The sequence below is a fragment of the Homo sapiens genome, chromosome 12 (assembly GCF_000001405.40).
Source record: "Homo sapiens chromosome 12, GRCh38.p14 Primary Assembly".
NCBI lineage: Eukaryota > Metazoa > Chordata > Mammalia > Primates > Hominidae > Homo > Homo sapiens.
This window is the reverse complement of record NC_000012.12, coordinates 21,760,338-21,783,396: the sequence shown is the minus strand read 5'-3', so window position 1 is coordinate 21,783,396 and position 23,059 is coordinate 21,760,338. Positions and strand designations below refer to the sequence as shown.

Below are 23,059 nucleotides of genomic sequence, written 5' to 3'. Positions count from 1 at the left end.
CCAATAAACATATGAAAAAAAGCTCATCATCACTGGTCATTACAGAAATGAAAATCAAAACCACAATGAGATACCATCTCATGCCAGTTAGAATGGTGATCATTATAAAGTCAGGAAACAACAGATGCTGGAGAGGATGTGGAGAAATAGGAATGCTTTTACACTGTTGGTGGGAGTGTAAATTAGTTCAACCATTGTGGAAGACAGTGTGGTGATTCCTCAAGGATCTAGATCCAGAAATACCATTGACCCAGCAATCCCATTACTGGGTATAGACCCAAAGGATTATAAATCATTCTACTATAAAGACACATGCACACATATGTTTATTGCAGCACTGTTCACAATAGCAAAGACTTGGAACCAACCCAAATGCCCATCAATGATAGACTGGATAGAGAAAATATGGCACATATACACCATGGAATACTATGCAGCCATCAAAAAGGATGAGTTCATGTCCTTTGCAGAGAAATGGATGAAGCTGCAAACCATCATTCTCAGCAAACTAACACACGAACAGAAAACCAAACACCGCATGTTCTCACTCATAAGTGGGAGTTGGACAATGAGAACACATGGACACAGAGAGGGCAACATCACACACTGGGGCCTGTCAGGGGGTGGCGGTTAGGGGAGGGATAGCATTAGGAGAAATACCTAATGTGTAGATGACGGGTTGATGAGTGCAGCAAAACCACCAAGGCATGTGTATGCCTATGTAACAAACCTGCACGTTCTGTACATGTATCCCAGAACTTAAAGTATAATAATAATAATAAAGAAATTCAGACTCAGATGATTTCAAAATTATTCTAAGCTTTCAAGAAGCAGCTAATCCCTACTCTATATACATTATTTCAACCGATGGAGAAAGAATACACACCAATTCTTTTTACAAAGACTCATAACATTTACCCAAAACCAGACAGAGAAAACACAGAAAAAAATAATACAGACCAATCTCATTCACAAATATTTATGCAAAAGTCCTAAGTAAATTGTTTAACAAACATGATCCAGCATTATATTAAAATAACAGTTCACAGTGACCAATTGGAGTTTAACCTCAGGAATGTAAAAATAGTTTAATTTTTTTTAATCTAGTGACTTAATTCACCATATTAACTGGTCAAAGAAGAAAAAAATAGATAAACTTGGTAGATGCTAAAAAGGCATTTTGTGTAATTCTTTATCCATCACTGATTTAAAAAACAGAAAAGTAGTAAAAACATACCACCTTAAAGTGATAAATATATAAATTATATATTCTGGAAGCATTTTATTAAAATCACTAAGAAGAGAAAGCATGCCTGTTATCACCATTTTTGTTTATCAATAATCTAACAATACTAACAAATTCAGGCTAAGAAAAAATAAAATAATAAATAATGAATTACATCCTAATTATTAAGGATGCTGTATCCAAGTTATAATTATTTTTAAAAATATTGTTTTAGGGCCAGGCGAGGTGGCTCATGCCTGTAATCCCAGCACTTTAGGAGGACAAGGCAGGCGGATCAGCCTGGCCAACATGGTGAAACCCCGTCTCTACTAAAAAAAAATACAGAAATTAGCCAGACTTGGTGGCAGGTGCCTATAATTCCAGCTACTTGGGAGGCTGAGGCAGGAGAATTGCTTGAACCTGGGAGGCAGAGGTTGCAGTGAGTTGAGATCGCGCCACTGCACTCCAGCCTGGGCGACAGAGCAAGACTCCATCTCAGAAAACAACAACAACAATAACAACAAAAAATATATATATATATGTAGTTTTAGGTGTCCTGGGCCTGTGCTAAATCCTTTACATACTCAACTCATTTAATCTATACAACTCTGAGAGGTAGATGTTAGTCCATTTCGCAGAAGAGGAGATTGAGGCTCAGAGTCGTTAAGTATGTTATTCAAAGTCATCAACCAAGTAAATGGCAGAACTGGCACCTGATCTCGTCTTTCTGACTGTAAACCTCTGTGAACTTAAATGGAAGGTTATACTATAGCTCATGCATCTCCCATAATTTCTCAATTTTTTAAAGAAAGATTGACTTTCAAATCCATAATAAATTTCAAGAGGAGATCATTTTATTATCCCATCAATTCTAACAAAAAATGAGGTAATTTGACATTTTAAATTAGACACAACTCTCAAACATGTAATTCCAGTGTGAACTTGTTTAGAAAAAATGACCTGGTGAAAGTTTTTCTGGCACAGAACATTTTTACCTTAAAAAAAAATCATTTAACAGCAGAAAAAATATCCTGGCTTCATTGGGCCCAACAAGTCTAAATATCACTTTAAAACTTTCAACCTCTATAATCCTTTCTATAGCTGACAGTTTTGAAAGGTGGCAATAAGGACCTGCTCTACAGAGAGTTCTGGAAAATGTCAGGTTTCTCTTTCCAAGCATTGCGTGAGTCACTAATTTTGGCAAAACATAATGACATGAAAGCATAGCAATGGATCAGGTGATCCTTGGGAATTGCTTTTTCCCTGAGTTTCAGAAATCCTGTGAAGAGTTCCTGTGAAGAATTCCTATGGCAGGACAGATCCCAGGCTCACGCGAACTTACCTTTCTTTGGCATGAGAACATGAAAGCATAATTTCAGGCCCTGAAAAAAATCAACAGTGACAGCCACTATTTCTCATCTTCTCTTGGGAGAGGGCCTACTAGCTTTATTTATAATTAGTATTTTGTAGCCTACCAGTAGAACATAATCAGCATGGGTACTCTTTCTTTGATGGAAGGAACTACTTTTCTCTTGGAAACACTATTACAGTAAAACACATGTGTTGATTTCTGAGTCCTTATTTTATTACCAGTATCTTGGTTGGCTCCTTTTTAGTCCCCAGTGTCTTAATTAAGTTCAAGAGTTGAGGAGACGGTAGTACAAGTATTGGTTAGTTATAATAGCACTCTGAGGGTTGGTAAGATCTCAAAAATATTCAGGTCTATAAAATGATAAAATAAATCTGTGAGCTGTAGCTTTTCCTTCCTACCCCCACAGCCTGCTCTGAGACCTTCTTGACCATCACCAAACTAAAACCAGCCCTAAGATATTAATGAGTTGATATTTATTAAGTACTTATCACAGGCCAGGAACTATCCTAAGCATCTTATATTATCTCATCTTGCCCTAAAAATAATTCTATGAGGTTCTAATACCTGGCTGGGCAAGAGAATCTCCAGGATAACTTTTAAATGTGCTTTATTTTATTAGAAGTGTTTATACCTTTTCATTAAAGATATTTTAATTTCTGGGCCAAAGATCATACTTCTTATTCTATCCTTGCTCAATAGAAGTCTGGTGGGGCATGAAATCATATTACCAGGTGTTTCTCGTGCAGCTGGACCATAGTTGGACAATCATCTCCTTGAGATATTGTCTAGTAAGAAAAGCACAGGATTTGGAATCAGATGTTCTGAGTCTGTCATAGCTTTCTACTTGCTTGGTAAGTGACTTTGGAAAGTCATTTTGCTAAATTCTAATCAATTCGTGTGCAAAATGAGAAAAATAACCTAATTTTCATGCAACTGTCTCAAGGATTAGGGTCAGTGATTTTCATAACCTAGTTACCTGGCAGACTCCCAATCCTTATTCATTGGGTAAATGGAGAGAACAGTGAAGGCACTTCCCAGTTTTCCCAGCTCTTCTTCTGCCTTTCCTCTTATCCATCTGCTATACTGATTTTCTTATTGTTCTTCAAGCACATCAAACTATTTCCTGCCTCAAAGCTTTTACACTTGCTCTTGGGCTGCCTGAAGCACTCTTTCCCAAGTTGATCATACAGTTGATTCTTTATTCAAATGTCACTGTTTTAAAGAGGTCTTTTTTGAACCCTATCTAAAACTGTCATCTCTGGCCCTAGTTACTTTTGATCCTTATCTCAATTTATTTTCTTTATATATTTTACCACTATTAATAATTATGTAATGTATTACTTGTTTGCTAACAGCTTTCTCCCCAAGAATGCCTTGGAGCAGGGATGTTGTTTTGCTCACCTAGATGCAAATCAAAGGGTAGTTATTGTTGTGAGTGCCTCCTTTCCTGACCTTTCTGATTCACACCTGTGAGCTTGCTAAAGTATGAGGAGCTGAGCTTGCAAAGAAGAAATGGGGTGACCTTATTTAAAACAGAGTGATGCTTTTCTGCACATAAATAGATACATATCTCAAAAAGAAATGTTCTCCGAATTCACTGGAACAAATAACTGAGAAGAGTTATACTGTCATTCCCATTCCATGATAACTCCAAAAAAGTAAGTTTATAACATGCTGTTTTGATTACTAGTTTATGTAACAATTTTATTAAGTTGATTCCAAAGCAATATGTTCCAAAGTGGTTTATACGAGGACACTAGTAAAGCAGCATACTAAGCAAATAGACCAACCATTATTTGTTCAGCTAACATGACTCGTTTCCATTGCCATTTTGAAGACCCTCCAAATTTTTAAGTCTAATATGGCTCAGGAAATCCAAGAGTTTGAAGTCTACAAGTCATGTCAAAGGCAAAGTCAACAACTGGAAGAATTTCACCCTTGCTCTCAAGGGTACTTTCAGAAACTTCACTGATTTGCATTTGGTAATCAAAGCAGCAGACAATTAGGAAAAGCATCAACCTAATATTTTCTCTACTTGTCTAAAGGCACTTGACAAGCTTTGTTTCTTAAGAGAATGAGAATGTCAGAAACCCAAAGAAAAATGCTCATAGGGTCTAAAAGGAACCTGGCAGATGCTGACTTACAACTGAACCAAAATCTTTTAATTGCTTTTTAATTGCATAAATTTCTGCAACATGAGTAAATTCTAACAGGATTCCTGCATACTCAAGAAAATTATAATAGTAAATAAAATTAGCTGTGTTCTAAACTTATTACTGATATCCTCTGGTAGTGTGCAAATTAGTCTTCACTCCTGAAAGAACAATTAAGAAAATTATTGAACAGTTAAGAAAATATACCTAACTTTTAGTGGACAACAGCATATAGTGATTGAATAAGCAGATGAATAAAATAAGCCCTAAGTAGTAAATGTGCTCTTGAAAATTAATTGATTTTTTTTTGCCAATTTCTCAGCCAGAGGCAAATTTAAATGTTCACTGTTTGGACCATAATATGAGGGAGAGCTAGAGGTCAGTCAATAATAAATATTTATTGAGCAGTTACTATGTGTCCAGAAAGACTTTTGGGGGATAGAGGTATATGTCAGTTAAGCTTAAAATCAAGTTGTAAAGAGAAACTTAGCTAGCAAATGCCAGACAAGTTTAAGTATTGCTGACTTAGAGCAATTAGGGAAGTTAGGGAAGTTGCTAAAGAAGGGAGAAATGGATAATTTTGCAGGAGTGTCCAATCTTTTGGCTTCCCTGGGCCATATTGGAAGAAGAATTGTCTTGGGTCACACATAATGTACAATAACACTAACGATAGCTGATAAGCTAAAAATCACAAAAAAATCTCATAATTTTAAGAAAGTTTACGAATTTGTGTTGGGCAGCATTCAAAGCTCTCCTGGGTTGCATGCAGCTCGCGGGCCACGTGTTGGACAAGCTTGATTTAAAGGTAGAGCAATATAGTAAAGAGAAAAGTGAGAATAAGAAAATTTTTGTAGACAGCTATAGAAACAGACTTCAAAGTGAATTCCAAAAGTTCACATTTCCTATGTGGGTTCTGAGAAATAGTTGCAAAACCATGAAGGGTAGAGAGAGATGAGAGAGAAAATGCAAGAGAGAGAAATACCATGTTTTGAACACTATTCCTACTTCTTTTCATTTGACAAGTATTTATTGAGTACCTACTCTTGGGATCTCGGAACAATTTGAGACCCTGGGTGTGTGGTGATATTAAACAATGTGCTCTCATGCAGCTTCCACTTAGTGCAGAAAAACTAGTTGAAGGACAAAGACATACACTGCTTAAGGAAACAATGTAGAAAGGGAATACAAAGAAAAATATATATCTGTAATATTCTTATAGCACACATTCTTTACCATTTAAAATGATTACTATTTGTTCTTAGGCCTACTATTGTCAAACATTTACTTATTAATTTCTTCAAATTTGATCTTTATTATGTGCCCTGATTTTGAATCAATCAAGTTAAATTACTGACTAATAAAAATATGACATTCTGTTATGAAAGCAAGTTGAAACGATTTAAAATTGCGTATTTGGAAGAATACATCTCAATGAAAAAAAAGAGTCTGAAATATGTATTATACCAAAAGAACAGAATTTTCAGAGAATTCAGATATGGATTTTTTTGTTGCAAATCTTCTCATAAATTCTCCACAGTACTTCAGCTCTTCTCATTCCAATTTTCTTATTATTTTTCTGTTACTATGATAAACATCACAGTCACCTCTGACTTTTCCCTTTTCCAATATTGACTCTGTATAACATTCCTTTTGTATGTATTTGTATAGTGCCCACTGATGTTACCTATTAGCCCAAGACCTCATTCCTTCTCTAATTAATGTAACAGTTTCCAGCACCCTCTTCTGCCAGTTACAGAATTTTGGAGCCCAGAGGGACTATACTCAAGAAATGCAACCCTTAAAGCCATTATATTCTCTGCTTCTGGATCAATCCTCTTAAAACAGGCTCTTATTGTGTAGTTTTCTGATCAAAATCTTTCCATGGCTTACCACTACATACTGAGGACTCCTCAGCTTCTTTTGTTGAGCATTTAAGGCTGTCTATGCATTTTTTAAGGCCCCAATATGCTTTTTCAACTTTGTATTTTTCATTCATTGATTCAAAAATATTTTTTGAGCCCATTTATAATTTAAATGGTGCTAGGGCCTTGCTACAAAGATGAACAAGTCACAGCCTTGCCCTCTAGCAGTCCCCAGTTTAAGGGAGGGGGTACAGGAGTGGTGGGAATGGGTGTGACGAGTACATGAAAATCTCATTAAGTATTGAGAGTAGGTGGTAACAGCGCCTGCCCAGGGAGCACTGAACTCAAGTGTCCAATCCTGCTGTGTAGCCAACTTGGCTTCATCAATGCTGACGTGGGCTGTCTTTTCTCTGCTTTTCTGTATACCCTAAATATATCTAGGCTTACAAAGCCTAGATCAGATGCCAAATAATCCATGGATTTTTCCTTAGTCTCCTACTCTTAAATATCTCTCATTTGAATTCCCATGACATTTTAAAATTTCCTTTCCTATTCTAATCACATCCCTGCTTGTATTAGAGAATATCTCTCTTACTACAACTGTCTGCCTCTTAAAAGCAACAACTATGACATATATTTATATATCTCTAGACACATAAACCTAAAAAAAGCTTACAAAGGTGTTCAGTAAATGTTCCCCAGGCTAAAATAATGAATAATAATGTGTACAAAGTCAAAGGTAAAATAGAACAATGGCGGGAATTGACTATACAAACTGATTCTTCATAGACTTGTAAAACTATTATACTACATAAATTACTGCAAAAATTAATGACAGTAGAAAGGAGGACTACCACTAACAAACTAGGATCCTGGGCTTACAGGGGTTAAGGAGATCTAACCACAAGGAGAAAAAAAAAGTTCTTAATTTGCCTTCATTAAAGACTAATTTTAGGTCTTTGGCTAATTAAATGAATACATTGTTTATGCTCCATACACTTTCGGCTCGAGTCTTGGAAAATACGTGGAACTTCCAAGAATTAAAGTTTCCATTAACGCAAGTGCCAAAATCAGGAGGCTTGACCTGTGGGAAAAAGCACATTTGTCTTCGCTGGCTCCTTTTCAAAAAGCTATAGATGTTTATTGTATAACCTTTTTTGTGCGCAAATGCTGTTTTATCATTCAGACCCATCTAGACAGAGGAAGAAGCTGCAACATTTCAGAAAGCAACCAATTACTGAGGACCGAATGACCTGGCCTTATCAGCGCTGAAGTGTTAACGGCCGTCCCTGTTTGGGGTAAAATTTCTTCATTGGGAGCCAGTCAGTGGTTTCTTTTTTTCTTTCTTTTCCTTAAGGGGCCGGGGGTGGTGGGGGGCAGTCGCTGTTTTGAGGTGTGTGTGTGTTTAATTCCCTGAGAACTGGCTTTGGCTGGTGAAGAAATACTTTACTATAGTGGGTTTCAGAACATCTTCCACCTGTATCTCTCCTAGCAGGTGGAAATTTAATGTAAATAATTGTGTGTGCCCACAGCTTGAACGCTTTGGAAGAATATTTTCTGACCTCTCTGCTTTTATTCAGTCCGAAGTAGCCCAGTTATCATGAAGTAGCCCAGTTATCTACCTAGATTACAAAATAAAATTAAAATTAAATCTCCTTACGTCAGTGAACTTGGAGTCAGAAAGTTCTCTCCCCTGAGCAGAGAGCCTTTTAAAGACTTGTGTGTCACGCTGGCGGCAGGGGGTCGCGGCTACTGGAAAGGAGCTGGCTCTGCAGGTCCCGCCCTCCCCCGGGTCGTCCCTCCCTCTGGCCTGCTCCCTACCTCCCGGGGACTTGCGCTCGCCCCCTCCCCGCCCGCCCCCTACTCCGCGACAACGTCGGCTTCCGAGGTCTGGCGTGCGTCAAAGCCCTAACTGGGAGGCTGATTTGTGGAGCATCGCCCCCCCGCCCCCGCCCCCCCAGTCCCTCCTCCTTCCACTGAAGTGGCCAAGGGAGTTGAGCTGAGCAGGGGGAGGGGAAGATCTACACCCATCCCCCTTCCTCTAGCCCTCCCTGCGTTTAGATTCAGTTGCACCTTTTATTATTTTAACTCTTCTCCTTAGGACACGCAGCCCCCAATTTGTCCCTCCGGCCTGGGCGGCCCCTGGTCCCGCGCGCCAGCATGGGAGAGCGAGGGACCTGCCCGCGGCCCGCCGGCGTGTGCAAGGAGGTCCAGCCGCCGCGCCCGCTACCCGGAGTCTGTAAGTTTCAAAGCTGCTCCGGGGGAGCGGAGGGGGGAGGCTGTCCGTGTTCCCGTAAATGATTTAAAATGCAAAACACCGCAGAGGCTTGCAGTGATGGATGGACTTTTCGGGGCACACTCCCTACTGCAACCCGCAGGCTGTTGTCTTGGGTTTTTTCCCCCCCGCACCTTGTATATTTGATTCCTTCGTTGTAAAAAAAAAAAAAAAAAAAAGTTTTCAATTTATAATATTATGATTTCCACAGGAACCTTTTTAACTCTTTTTAGATGCAACTCATACTTCTTTCGCATTTAAAATAATTCTTATAACTTATAAATTCTATAGCACACCACTTATTATAATTTTGTCAGATTACACGTTATTTAGACTGCGCAAGGAGTCATGGCCTTTGCTTACTTCTAAAAATAACGGAGGAAGAATTTTCTCTCTTTACTTTTAATATTGCTACATCATCTAAGTACTTTAATAAGTAGATCGTGCACCCAACTGGTCTTAATCTTCATGACTGACGCCACGTGCTGTAGCCTTGCACTAATTTACAGACGCGGTTAATCGCAGAGAATTATCTTTGAGCCTGCTGTTTACCGGAAGGCTCCTGGTTTTGTTTAACTAAGGCTATGTCCATATGTACTCAGAATAAGAAAAATTGAAACAGTTCTTTTTATTAAAACCAAGTAATTTTTCTGAGATCCCAGAACTCAAGCACAAGCTAGATTCATGTTTGGGTTAGTAAAAATCACATTTTTGGTTTTGCATGTCACCTCGCACATGTACAGACATATCCTTGAATACAAGGACCCAAGAGGTGAGGATAGGGTGGGTTTTTAAGTTTTTAATAAATGTTTCCCTCGTGCAGGAGGACGGGTGTCCAGGGACGGAGAGGCAGGTGAGAGGGAGGTGGCTAAGCTGGCTATGGTGACAGGACGATGTTGGCCAGAAAGAGTATCATCCCGGAGGAGTATGTGCTGGCGCGCATCGCCGCAGAGAACCTGCGCAAGCCGCGCATCCGAGACCGCCTCCCCAAAGCCCGCTTCATCGCCAAGAGCGGGGCCTGCAACCTGGCGCATAAGAACATCCGTGAGCAAGGACGCTTTCTACAGGACATCTTCACCACCTTGGTGGACCTGAAATGGCGCCACACGCTGGTCATCTTTACCATGTCCTTCCTCTGCAGCTGGCTGCTCTTCGCTATCATGTGGTGGCTGGTGGCCTTTGCCCATGGGGACATCTATGCTTACATGGAGAAAAGTGGAATGGAGAAAAGTGGTTTGGAGTCCACTGTGTGTGTGACTAATGTCAGGTAAGAATGTAGTGGGATGAGGCAGGGGTTGAAAACAGTAGAGAAAAAATGTCAAAATGCCCTTTCTCTTATCATTCTGTTATTTAATTGAAAGTGAAATAAAGGGTTTGTTTTAGAATCTTCAGAAACAAAAAAGCACAATAAAGAACAACACCTAACACAGTAAGTATTTTTTAAATGCAGCTTTATGGAGAAGAGTCTCTGAAAACCTGAGCTTCAGTCCTTTGGACTAGCCTTGAAAATGTTATACCAGTTATCAAAAAAAAATTGTAATTCAAAGGATTACACAGAGTGCTTTACTCCAAAAGCGCACACATTGAGTTCAGTATGAAAAAGCTGTTGTCCATAGTTTCAGTGCCCACAGGTAAATATCTCTGATCAACAAAAAATATTGTGCTAGTGGACATTTTTCTTGACTCTTCTAACCCATGACATTTTCAGAAATAATAAGAAAAAAATGGGAAGGCCCTAGGGGGAGAGTGTCCTAGATTAAAAATCTACTAAAAAATGAAATAAATATCATCCCTTCTTTATCGAGATTATCATAACATAGCTGATTGCTTGCACTGGATTCAGAAATTAAAAGTTATGCTAAGATTCAGAACTAGAAATTGCTAATTTTTAATGACAATTAGTCCAAAATTTTATGGAAGGGGTTATATAGAAGCAATTTAATTTTGTACTCTTCTTTCAAAGTTTAAATAGAATAGGGACAAGATAGTTCTTAGATTACCTAACTTTGGCTTCTTTCTCATATCATAAGTATCTCAAAGACAGGTAAATTGATTTCAGTGATTCACCTCTCTTGCTTTCACATGGTTTAAGAACATTTAGTTGAGGTGATTTCTTTGTTTTTTTCGGGGGGAGGTGGAAAGAGATAAATTATATCAATTACCAAGATGTTCACTGTGAAGCAAAAGAGTAGTAATAATACTGGAAAATTTTCCAAAACATTTTTAAAAGAACATTTTAAATTCACATAATTCACAAAGCAAAGAAACTTGAAAAAGCATTATGATACCAGGAAACTGTAAAGAATGGGACCTCTAGTGACCCTGAAACCTTATTAAGCTAGCATATCACTGCAGAAAGTGGACCCCAGACTGTGAACTTGTCCACCCTTCCATTTGCTAAGGAACTACAATGCCAGCCTTTCAAGGAGGAAGGCAGCATTAGTGCGCAGAGATCACACACCACAGATTTCAGCTCAAATTCTGAGCAGCAAAAACTGTATTGAATTGATCTATTGCTTTTAATATTGATTAGATATTATTTTCTTTTTTCAAACTTCTCACAAACTGTTGTCTCAAAGAAAATGCAGCTGGAAAACATAGATCATCAGTATACCAGATATAAAGAAAACACAATACTTAAAATATCCGTTAAAACGTTCAATAGATACTCTAAGATCAAATATCATTATCTATAATATATATCTTTAAGAAACTTACTGGCACTGATAATTGGTGAATCATTTTCATATCAAAATAAAGTTTTAATCTAAATTATATGATACTGATAAAAAGAGAAAAAAGAAATGGTAACAGCAAACCTTAAAAATCTTCATTCTCTCCCAATGAGAATGTAAAAGGTGACTAATAATAATTCTAATTCTTTGCATTTTTCCCTTTGTGAATTCAATGTCCAACCATATCACTAAAATTGGAAACAACATTTTTCATTGAATATTCACCAGTATTTCCAAATAATGTTTGACCATTCTTCTCTTAGGGTGACTCATTTTCTCCTCCATGTATTTTCTCCTGCAAGGAGTCTCTTTGACTCCATTTAATATGAGTCAAAAAATAGACCAATATATTTCCTCTTTCTCGATATTATCCAGCCTACCTCTTTCTGTAACAGAACAAAGAAACAGCTAAACACTTTTATCTCTTGAGATTGTTTAGCATAGCAAGTGTCAGTAAAAAGCTGGGTCTTGTACCATATGTAATATTTAGAATTCATAAACAATATACAAAATGTGGCTCATGAATAGTCTCTTAAACCATTAAAACAAACTATTTGGGATATTTATCATTAGACTGCTCTCTGAGGTATGGATACATTATCAGAAATCAGTGTTGTATCCATACCCCTTCTCTGGGGTCCATTTTTATTCTTGCCATGTTTTGGGGCTATACCAGATATCTTTTTGTGGGTAGTTAGTGCAATAGGCAATTACTGTAGTTTTCCATGAATCATTTTAGCAACAAAAGAGAAAGGCAACTTTCGCACTTCACTTAAAAGCTAATCAAAAGAATAATCCATGTATTCTTGCTTATCCCTCATAATTTTCTACCAAAGTGCACTGTACATACCAAGTACTCAAATGTTTAAACATTTTTCTCACCTGCTGTCTGTAGCATTAATAAATAGGTAATACTTTGAGAGATTGCTAATGTGTAGGCTTGTCTTCTATAAAGTTAGAGAAGTTTGAAATTGTGGTTGGGGGCAAAGATAGAACTAATATTGTTTCTATGAAGAAGCCACAGCAGTACTTGTTGTGAAATTAAGTGTTATAAATTGATAGTAACAAATGTGGTGCTTCCCATATGGGAGTAAATCAGAATCCCCTGAGAACTTTTCAAAAGCATCTTACCCAGATCCAACCTCAGCCTACCAAATCAATGTCTATTCACTAAGATAGGGAGTAGATGTGCAATTTGAAAAAGCTTCCCAAGAAAATCCTACAACTTCTTGGTTCCTTCCCTCTGCTTCTTTCACAGGATTAGGCCAAAGTGAGAAAATTCAAGTTAGTATAATATTAATTACAGGTATACCTTAGAGATATTGCAGTTTTGGTTCCAGACCATTGCAATAAAGCAAATATCAAAATAAAGACAGTTACACAAACCTTTTGTTTCCCAGTGCATATAAAACATTTATATTATATTGTAATCTAGTAAGTGTGTAATACCATTATGGCTGAAAAATATACATATCTCAATTCAAAAAATATTTTAATGCTAAAAAATGCTAATGTTCATCTGAGCCTTCTGCAAGATGTGGTCTTTTTGCTGGTGGAGGGGCTAGCCTTGATATTGATGGCTGCTGATTGATCTGGGTAGTGGTTGCTCAAGGTTGGGGTGGCTGTGGCAACTTCTTAAAATATGACAATGAAGAGTTTGCTGCAACAATTGACTTTTCTTTTCACAAAAGATTTATCTGTAATGTGTGATGCTGTTTGATAGCATTTTACCCACAGTAGAACTTCTTTCAAAACTGGAGCTAATCTTCTCAAAACCTGCCACTGCTTTATCAACTAAATTTATGTAATCTTCTGAATTCTTTGTTGTCATTTCAACAGTGTTCACAGCATCTTCACCAAGAGTAGATTCCATCTCAAGAAACCACTTTGGTTGCTTGTCCAGAAGAAGCAACTCCTCATTCATCCAAGTTTTATCATGAGATTGCAGCAATTCAGTCACATCTTCAGAATGCCCTTGTAATTCTAATTCTCTTGCTATTTCTACCACATGTGCAGTGACTCCCTCCACTGAAGTATTGAACCCCTCAAACTCATTCATGAGAATTAGAATGAACTTCTTCCCAACTCCTGTTAATGTTAATATTCTGACCTCCTCCCGTGAATCACAAATGTTCTTAATGGCATCTAGAATGGTGAATCCTTTCCAGATGGTTTTAAATTTACTTTGCCCAGCTCCATCACAGGACTCACTATCTATGTCAGCAATAGCCTTATGAAATGTAAATTTCTTAAGTAATAGGCCTTAAAAGTCGAAATTACTCCCTGACTCATGGCTGTAGAATGGATGTTGTGTTAATAAGCATAAAAACAGCAATCAACTCCTTCTACATCTCCATCAGAGCACTTGAGTGACTAGGAGCATTGTCAATGGGCAATAATATTTTGGAGGAATCTTTTTTTCTGAGCAGTAAGTCTCAGCAGTGGGCTTCAAATATTTAATAAATCATGCTGCAGACAGATATGCTGTCCTCTAGCCTTTATAGTTCTACTTATAGAGCATAGGCAGAGTCAATTTAGCATAATACTTTGGGGCTCTACGATTTTCAGATTGATCAATGACCATTGGCTTCAACTTGATGTTACCAGCTGCATTAGTTCCTAACAAGAGTTAGCCTGAACTTTGATGCTTTGAAGCCAAGCATTGACTTCTATCTAGTTATGAAAGTCCTGGGTAACATCTTCTTCCAATAGAAAGCTGTTTCATTTTCAACACTGAAAATCTGTTGTTTAGTGCAGCCACCTTTACTAATTTTCTTAGCTGGATCTTTTGGATAACTTGCTGCAGCTCCTCCATCAGTACTTGGTGCTTCACCTAGCACTTTTCTGTTTTGAAGGTGGCTTCTTTTCTTAAGCCTCCTGAACCAATCTCTTCTAGCTTTAAACTTTTCTTTTGCAGCTTCCTCACCTCTCATCCTTCATAGAAATGAAGAGAGTTAGGGCCTTGCTCTAATTCAGGCTTTGGCTTAGGGGAATGTTGTGACCTAGTTGGTCTTTTATCCAGACCACTCAAATTTTCTGCATCTCAGCAATGAGGCTATTTTGCTGTCTTATCATTTGTGTCTTCACTGGAGTAGCACTTTGAATTTTTTTCAAAACTTTTTCTTTCCACTGTTCACAACTTGGCTGTTTGGCACAACAGGCCTAAACTTTGGCCTATCGTGGCTTTTGACTTGCCTTCCTCACCAGCTTAATCATTTTTGCTTTTGATTTAAAGTGAGAGACAGCGAATATTTCCTTTACTCGAACACTTAGTGTTCTTTGTAGGGCTATTAACTGACCTAATTTCAATAGTGCTGTGTCTCAGGGAATAGGAAATCCTGATGAAAGGGGAAGAAACAAGGGAACAGCTGGTCAGTGGAGGACTCAGAACACACACATTTATCGATTGTTTGCCATCTTATATGGGCATGGCTCATGGTGCCCCAAACTAGGGGTTCCCAATCCTTGGGCTGCAGACCAGTACTAGTCTGTGGCCTGTTAGAAACCAGGCCACATAGCAGGAGGTGAGCAGTGGGGGAGCAAACATTACCTCCTGAGCTCTGCCTCCTGTCACATCAGTGGGGGCATTAGATTCTCATAGGAGTGTGAACCCTACGGTGAACTGCGAAGGTGAGGGATCTAGGCTGCGGGCTCCTTGTAAGAATCTAATTCCTGATGATCTGAGGTGGAACAGTTTCATCTCGAAACCATTTCCCCCCACACACACCCCCCAGTATTGTCTTCTACAAAACCAGTCCCTGTTGCCAAAAAGGCTGGGGACTGCTGCCCTAAACAATTACAATAATGACATCAAATATCACTAATCACACATCATGGTAACTGATGTAATAATAATGAAAAAGTTTGAAATTTTGTGAGAATTACCAAAATGTGACACACAGACACAAAGTGAGCACGTTTTGAAAAAATTGTGATAATAGACTGGCTGGATGAAGGTTGCCACAGACCTTCAATTTATAAAAATGCAGTATCTGCAAAATACATTACAGCAGAGAAGAATAAAATAAGGCATATCTGTATGTGACCTTGACACAGTCATTTACTAGTTTCTGCCCCTAGTTCTCCCTTTAATCATTTCAGTATTCTCCAGAACACCTAGAGTAGTGCTCCCCAACCTTTTTGGAGCCAGGGACTGGTTTTGCGGAACGCCAATTTTTCCACTGATGGGGGTGGGGGATGGGGATGGTGTGGGGATAAAACTGTCCCACCTCAGATCATGAGGCATTAGATTCTCATAAGGAGGGATAACCTATATCTCCCACATGTGCAATTCACAATAAGGTTCACTATACCATGAGAATCCAGTGCCTCCACTAACCTGACTGGAGGCAGAGCTCTGGCGGTAATGCTGGCTTACCCACTACTCACCTCCTGCTGTGTGGCCTAGTTCCTGACAAGCCATGGACCAGCACTGGTCCCTGGCCTGGAGGTGGGGGGGGGGGGGGTTGGGGACCCCTGACTTAACAAAATTAGATCATCAATAAGACACTTTTCTTTCCAAATGGAAAACAACTCCCTTCTATTAAAAATACTAGTTGTTTGGAATAATGTGTTTTATACTAGTTTTTTTAGCACTGTGCTATTTCTATATGAGACACAAAATAAGTATTAGCTAATGAATATGATTTTAAAGATTATAAATAATAAATTCACTCAGTACTCAGTACCTTCCATATGACTCAAGTCTCCTAAACATAGATACGCAATAAATAATAAACATCTACCTGGTAGAAAGTTTTACAAAGTAAACTGTGCCTTTGTGAAAGTGAAGTATTTCGCAAGGTAAAATATGCATATATATGAAAATATATTAATCTTTTACACAAATTAGGCCCATCACTATGTGACCTATGAAACATTAATAGAATGTTAATAGAATTAGGCCTTAGCTTAAGGGAACTTAATTAATAGAATGTTAATCTCCAGAAGTCTGGAGGTAGATGCATGCAAGAGAGAGAGAGACTGTTCTAAACACAGTTTAGAATTAGGCATTTTACAAGTTTAAGTTGGCTAGTCTTTCTGCAAGCATTTAATAGTCTTTGGTGGAAGAAAATGAAAAGCTCAGCTTGGCATATTTCATTATTCAAAATGTGACCTGATGGTGTTCTTTTCTGATATCATTCCTCACAGGTCTTTCACTTCTGCTTTTCTCTTCTCCATTGAAGTTCAAGTTACCATTGGGTTTGGAGGGAGGATGATGACAGAGGAATGCCCTTTGGCCATCACGGTTTTGATTCTCCAGAATATTGTGGGTTTGATCATCAATGCAGTCATGTTAGGCTGCATTTTCATGAAAACAGCTCAGGCTCACAGAAGGGCAGAAACTTTGATTTTCAGCCGCCATGCTGTGATTGCCGTCCGAAATGGCAAGCTGTGCTTCATGTTCCGAGTGGGTGACCTGAGGAAAAGCATGATCATTAGTGCCTCTGTGCGCATCCAGGTGGTCAAGAAAACAACTACACCTGAAGGGGAGGTGGTTCCTATTCACCAACTGGACATTCCTGTTGATAACCCAATCGAGAGCAATAACATTTTTCTGGTGGCCCCTTTGATCATCTGCCACGTGATTGACAAGCGCAGTCCCCTGTATGACATCTCAGCAACTGACCTGGCCAACCAAGACTTGGAGGTCATAGTTATTCTGGAAGGAGTGGTTGAAACTACTGGCATCACCACACAAGCACGAACCTCCTACATTGCTGAGGAGATCCAATGGGGCCACCGCTTTGTGTCCATTGTGACTGAGGAAGAAGGAGTGTATTCTGTGGATTACTCCAAATTTGGCAACACTGTTAAAGTAGCTGCTCCACGGTGCAGTGCCCGAGAGCTGGATGAGAAACCTTCCATCCTTATTCAGACCCTCCAAAAGAGTGAACTGTCTCATCAAAATTCTCTGAGGAAGCGCAACTCCATGAGAAGAAACAATTCCATGAGGAGGAACAATTCTATCCGAAGGAACAATTCTTCCCTCATGGTACCAAAGGTGCAATTTATGACTCCAGAAGGAAATCAAAACACATCGGAATCATGACAGCAAGATAACCCCAAGACAGTCTTTTATCAAGTTTTGACGGTTTATGCTGGGCACTGCCAGACTGAACCAGAGCTGGAACACAATAATGTGTCCTTCTACATTTTATTACACTAAATGATATTCATATTCAAGCAACAGCACTTTCTGTAGTAATAAAAAGTAACACACCAAGTGGAGGATTCATGGCTTATGCTTGTTTCATACATGTAGAATTCGCAGTGATATACTTAAGTTATGTGCAGGGGTGGGTATGCTCGTTTCTCTCAATTTGAAACACAAGAATTACACTAATAGTAACAGGCCTTGAGCACAAAATTTGGTCAAGAAATGAGTCTGTTTGAAATGCTTAGTTGGTGAAACCCAGATCGCTGTGTTACTAATGATCACTCTGGAAATGCAAATAGAATAGGAGGGGAAAAAACAAAATCATGTTAATGCGTTTTGTACATCAGCCTTCTCCTGTCTCCATGATAACTGCATTTGGTAGGAAGCCTGAGGCAAAAACTGCTTAAGTGGATCTGTTTGTAAGTGGATTCAGTTCATTCGCTTTGTCTGTCGGTGACTCCTGAAGGTTTCCTGGTCCATCTCATTGCGGCCTGTTGGGCAGAGCTGGACAAGGTGTCTTTGAAGGAAAGCTAAGTCTTGTCTCATTTAGGACTGGGTTCCCCACAGTGACAGTCACTTCCTTCAGCATCTCACTTCTTCTTCTAGAATCCCCACAGGGAAATACTGTATTGAATATTTTATTAAAACATTTTCTTTGTACTCACTGTAGTTTTGTGATTCCTCTTTCACAAAATCATCCCAAGTTAAAACTCAAGATGTTTTTAGAGCCATGTAAAAGAGATGTCAAAGTGATAACACTCACTCTGAGATTCCTCTCTCTCAAGTCTGTTTGCTCCAAAACTAGCTTTTTTTTGCTTTGTTTTGATTTTATTTCAGGTTTTAAAATGTCCTCTTGGTTTTTCAATCTAAGCCTGACATACCATAAAAATCCTATAAGCTTTTTTTTTTAATCTTCAATCTCCCATCTTAAAACTATACTTCCTTCCCAGTAGTATCTGAATTTAGGCTTGGCATTTATAGATTTAGCATCATCTCATTTGCTAAAGTGAGATTTTCTATCAAAGCTTCATTTAAGCATATTTAGTGCCTGCTTCTTCAAGGAAGGGATGAGACAGGAGAGAGAAGTACTAGGTTAATAAACTATATATGCTTTTATTCTTACATTTTATAGCTAAACATCAGAAAGCTGAGCTATTGTGAAATCTTTCACACAGATTTGGGGGTTTGTATTTATGAACATTGAAATAGGTAATTATGAAATGTTCTATCTTAAGACTCATGATTCCAACCAGGTGAACAGAAACTGTTTATCACGTCATTGAGTTAATCATTCCTGAAAGGGTTCTAACTGTTCCTCTGAACTCCAGACTCACAGATCAAACAGGCACCTGAGGCTCCACTTGGAGATTGAACAAGCATTTCAAACTTACTAGGTCTAAAACCAAATACTTCATTCTCACTCACAAAAGCTGCCCTCCTCCCAGTCTTTCTTCCAATCACTCAGGCATCAAGCCATGACCTGGAAGTCATTCTTGCTGCCTCTTTCATACCCTACATGCCATCCATTAGCAATTACCTCTCGGCTCTGCCTTCAAAATATATCCAGAATATGACCAATTCTCTTTACTCCACCACTTCCTTCATAGTCCAAGCAAGGATACTGTATATATGCATGCATCTGTACCAATTGTTTGAATATTAAAACATTTCTGTCTAGGTTGCTAAAGACTATCTTAATAAAACTTAACCCAACAGCAACTATGGAGGTGGATATCAGACCTCAAAGCAGTTCTGGAACAGATGCAGGTTCCCACCTTCCCACCCCAGGGCAGCTGAGCAGACCCAGAGGTAGCTGCCACACAATCCAGCAGTAAGAACATGGATAGTGCCTTCCTGCTGCTCAGTAGTAGCCCAACTTTGTAGAGGTGACACAGGCTGTGCAACAGGTGATGTCAGGACATAGTGGAGCTGAGATGCAAAATTTCTGAGTCCAGGGTCTAGAGAATTCCCTGGCACCAGGGGCAAAGCTAGCTATGGAGTACGGGAAGTTCCCCCAGCCACCTTCCAGCTGCAACTAAACGCTGAGTGTCAAGGACCTAATGACTGTCAATATAATGGGCATGTCAACGAAAGGTTATGAGGGGCTCCCTATGTCAAGCTGTGGCTCAGACAGGGACATCATTTAGCTAGAGACAGCCACACCAAACAAAAGGTTCTATCAACAATTTCTAAAAGTCTGAAAATGTTTTAGAGAGTATTAAAATGATTTTCTGACCTATTTTTGCTAAAACATATTTCACTGGGTAAGCAATTTTGAGAACTACATAGTTTTAGAAGATAAGACGGACTCTGTACATATATATGTGTACATGTATGATTTTGACTTACATATTGTGTTTAAATATTATTTTATATTCAGTATTTTGGTTCTCTGCTTCTACCCTTTCTTCCACCTCCATAATTCATACAGCAGCCACAATATTTTTTTAAATCACAAGTCAAACTACATGACACCTCTTCTTAAAGCCCTCTTCTGCCTTTTTCATTTTCTTTTTTTTTTTTCTTTTTTGCAGACAGAGTCTCACTCTGTCGCCCAGGCTGGAGTGCAGTGGCACGATCTCAGCTCACTGCAACCTCTGCTTCCCAGGTTCAACAGATTCTCGTGCCTCAGCCTCCTGAGTAGCTGGGATTACAGGTGCGTGCCACCACGCCTGGCTAATTTTTTGTATTTTTAGTAGAGCCGGGGTCTTACCATGTTGCCCAGGCTGGTCTCAAACTCCTGAGCTCAGATAATCTGCCCACCTCGGCCTCCCAAAGTGCTAGGATTACAGGTGTGAACCACCGTGCCCAGCCCTTTTTATTTTTCTTAAAATGCAAACCAAAATCCTTACCAAGGCCAACAAGCCACTACATCTCATTGTTAGCGCTCTTCCCCTCAGAGACTCCTACACTTTACCACACTGGCCTTTCTGCTCTTTGAGAAAGAGACATATGGCTCCTGCATCATAGATTTGCTTCTACCTGGAGAGTTTTCCCTCAGAAAGCCTCATGAGTCTCCCCTGTCATTATTTAGTCTCTGCTCGAGTGTCACCTCGTGAGGAAGTACAGTGTAATAGTTATAAAAACAGACCCAGAAGCCAGACTCCCTAGGTGTCAATTTCAATGTTAACATTTAGCATCTGTAAGGCCTTGACAAAATTAACTTCTTTGTGCCTCAGTTTCCCCATATATAAAATCAGAATGATTATAGTATTTACCTCACAAATTTGTTGTGAGGATTAAGTGAGTTAACATATATAAAGGGCTTAAAAGAGTATAATTCAGTGGCCCAGGACAAACACTTGAAATAAAGGATTTCCTTTATTTCAAAAAAGGCAAAAGGCAATAAAAGAAAAAAAAGAAGGATTACCTTCAACTAATTTGCTTCTTAGTAAATGACTGAGTCATTGCATTACTCTTCTTTTCTAGGACAGAGATAAAAGCACTTTGCAACATGAATCTGATCTCTTAAAACCTCTGCAGCAGAGGCCCTTATATCTGCCCACTCCCAGTTGCTTTTCCTGATCCTTTGACACCTTTAACAGACACTTGCCTGTCCTCAAACATTGTCATGTGTAAAATACTACAACGTGTAAAAAGGAAACATTTTGCATACAGAGATTTCTGCTTGCACTTGTCTATCATTTATTTATTCATTTAGTAATATATATTGAATGTCTGCCATGTCTGACATTTATCATCTGCCAAAAATAACTAGGTGTGTCTATTTTCTTTAAGGAGGAGCAGAAATTGATAGCCCGGGTACATGCTGATTCTGGTAGTAAGTAATCAGAGATGAAAAGTATCAGGTAAGAAAAACTGGAATACATGCCAGAATTTGAAAAGAGACACTTTCATCTCAAAATCAAAATCAAAACATACTGCTAGTTACTGAGTAGGCATGGGAAGACAACGGAAGACCTAGAACTGTCGCACATACAGCTTTGCTGAGAGCTGGATGAGAAAATAGAACATTGTCCTTAGAACTATCATTTTTCCTGCTTTATCCCCATACCATAGTTTTATTTCGACAATTCCTTATTGTTTGCATCTCAGCTCAAGACTCTCTCTAAAGAAAATCATTGTTGCCCTTGCTCACAGACATTTCTAAATATCCCTGGCCAAAATGTTCTGACACATAAGTGTGTCTCAGAACCGACAGTTTCCCAGCAGCTGAAGGAAATGACCTTAGTTCCCAAAGAAAGTCTAACTTGCAGAAAAGTTACTCGCTTAATGAACATAGGGCAGCATTTTCTCCCCTCCAATATTTGGATTCATTTTGTTGTTGTTGTTTAGCGACTTGGCATTCATGGAGCCAGTTTTCCCTTTGATAATAAATCAATTGTAGATAAAGAAGAAAGAATGAAAAGATATCTACATCTCCTGGGGCTCCCACTCCCAACTTTTGTTATTTTCAGCATGGAAGGTAGAGGCAGAACTGTAGTTAGTGTCTCCAAGGACCAGTGCATTAAAGTAACCATAACAAATCCTACAGGCTGTTTAAGAGGAAACCCAAGGGCCATGTTCTTCCCATGATCTTTATGCACAATTCTCATCAATGGTGATGGGAATTTCCCCACAGACCTAGAAAGGATGTGACTCTTAATTACACCCCTTGATAATCACACTGATTCAAGTTTAAGTTCAAGAAAATCTTAATCAGTCTTTAGCTTCAGATCAAAATATTACGTTGGAGCCCACTTTCATTTTAGGTTATTTACATCTTCATGAATACTCTTTTCAAGAAGTGTTCCCGTTCTCATGAAGATTTTCTTGGCTGTACCATATGGCACTCCTTCCTCCACTCCAATACTCCCTGGGGTAGTTGGAATGAAACTATTGCCTTACATTGAGTTTATCTTAATTATTTGAAGGAACAAAAATATTAAAGCTAGATTTCCACATACTAGTGGATTGCTTCAGTGGGTATGGAAAAGTGGAGGCTAAAACAGTTGTCTGTAAAACTGAAGTTTATAGTACTTCAAAAGGCTTCACTTATTTGCCATTGATTGTTGAAGAAAGTTCACATTCTTTACACATGATAGTCAAGACTCTTTGTGGTTTGATTCCAACACACCTTTCCTGCCTGGTTTTCTAACCCTACCCACAACACCTTATGAAGCTTCAAGTTTACTGAATGCTTCACTCACATTCTGCAAGTTGCTGAGATTGAAATTCTGTGCTTTCTCTATCACCACAAACTACTATTTTTACAAAACCTTCTCAAATTCTCCACCTAAATCACTCCTTTTTTTAATCCCTACAACGTTTACCTCT

The 23,059-nt window shown here is 38.8% G+C and overlaps 1 protein-coding gene and 1 long non-coding RNA gene across 2 annotated transcripts in view, besides 5 other annotated features; one reads left to right on the top strand and one right to left on the bottom strand.

Annotated features, from left to right (window-relative positions):
• KCNJ8-AS1 (KCNJ8 antisense RNA 1) overlaps positions 1–23,059 on the bottom strand; it is a 166,949-nt gene that overhangs the window by 45,865 nt on the left and 98,025 nt on the right. The window lies entirely within an intron of this gene.
• Positions 8,277–8,494: a silencer, noted in NCBI's record as "fragment chr12:21927837-21928054 (GRCh37/hg19 assembly coordinates)". NCBI's record gives its function as "represses an EF-1alpha promoter that drives an FKBP-Casp9 reporter gene in an ReSE screen in K562 erythroleukemia cells {active_cell/tissue: K562}" and the evidence as "EXISTENCE:reporter gene assay evidence [ECO:0000049][PMID:32094911]".
• Positions 8,277–9,334: a biological region, named in NCBI's record as "H3K4me1 hESC enhancer GRCh37_chr12:21926997-21927994".
• Positions 8,337–9,334: an enhancer, noted in NCBI's record as "H3K4me1 hESC enhancer chr12:21926997-21927994 (GRCh37/hg19 assembly coordinates)". NCBI's record gives its function as "activates a minimal SCP1, AML or CMV promoter by ChIP-STARR-seq in naive and primed H9 embryonic stem cells {active_cell/tissue: H9 hESC(naive and primed)}" and the evidence as "EXISTENCE:reporter gene assay evidence [ECO:0000049][PMID:30033119]".
• Positions 8,691–18,442, top strand: KCNJ8 (potassium inwardly rectifying channel subfamily J member 8). The gene is made up of 3 exons (NM_004982.4): positions 8,691–8,851; positions 9,711–10,154; positions 16,774–18,442. The coding sequence occupies exons 2-3, from the start codon at positions 9,781–9,783 to the stop codon at positions 17,672–17,674; spliced, it is 1,275 nt and encodes a 424-aa protein (NP_004973.1). The 5' UTR covers positions 8,691–8,851; positions 9,711–9,780; the 3' UTR covers positions 17,675–18,442.
• Positions 9,335–10,333: an enhancer, noted in NCBI's record as "H3K4me1 hESC enhancer chr12:21925998-21926996 (GRCh37/hg19 assembly coordinates)". NCBI's record gives its function as "activates a minimal SCP1, AML or CMV promoter by ChIP-STARR-seq in primed H9 embryonic stem cells {active_cell/tissue: H9 hESC(primed)}" and the evidence as "EXISTENCE:reporter gene assay evidence [ECO:0000049][PMID:30033119]".
• Positions 9,808–10,102: a silencer, noted in NCBI's record as "tiled region #9497; K562 Repressive DNase unmatched - State 4:PromP". NCBI's record gives its function as "represses a minimal TATA promoter and a strong SV40 promoter by Sharpr-MPRA in K562 cells {active_cell/tissue: K562}" and the evidence as "EXISTENCE:reporter gene assay evidence [ECO:0000049][PMID:27701403]".

Coding starts and splice junctions, on each gene's coding strand:
- KCNJ8 (NM_004982.4), top strand. CDS start 9,781: ATGTTGGCCAGAAAGAGTATCATCCCGGAGGAGTATGTGCTGGCGCGC. Junction 10,155..16,773: donor GTGTGTGTGACTAATGTCAG/GTAAGAATGTAG, acceptor CATTCCTCACAG/GTCTTTCACTTCTGCTTTTC.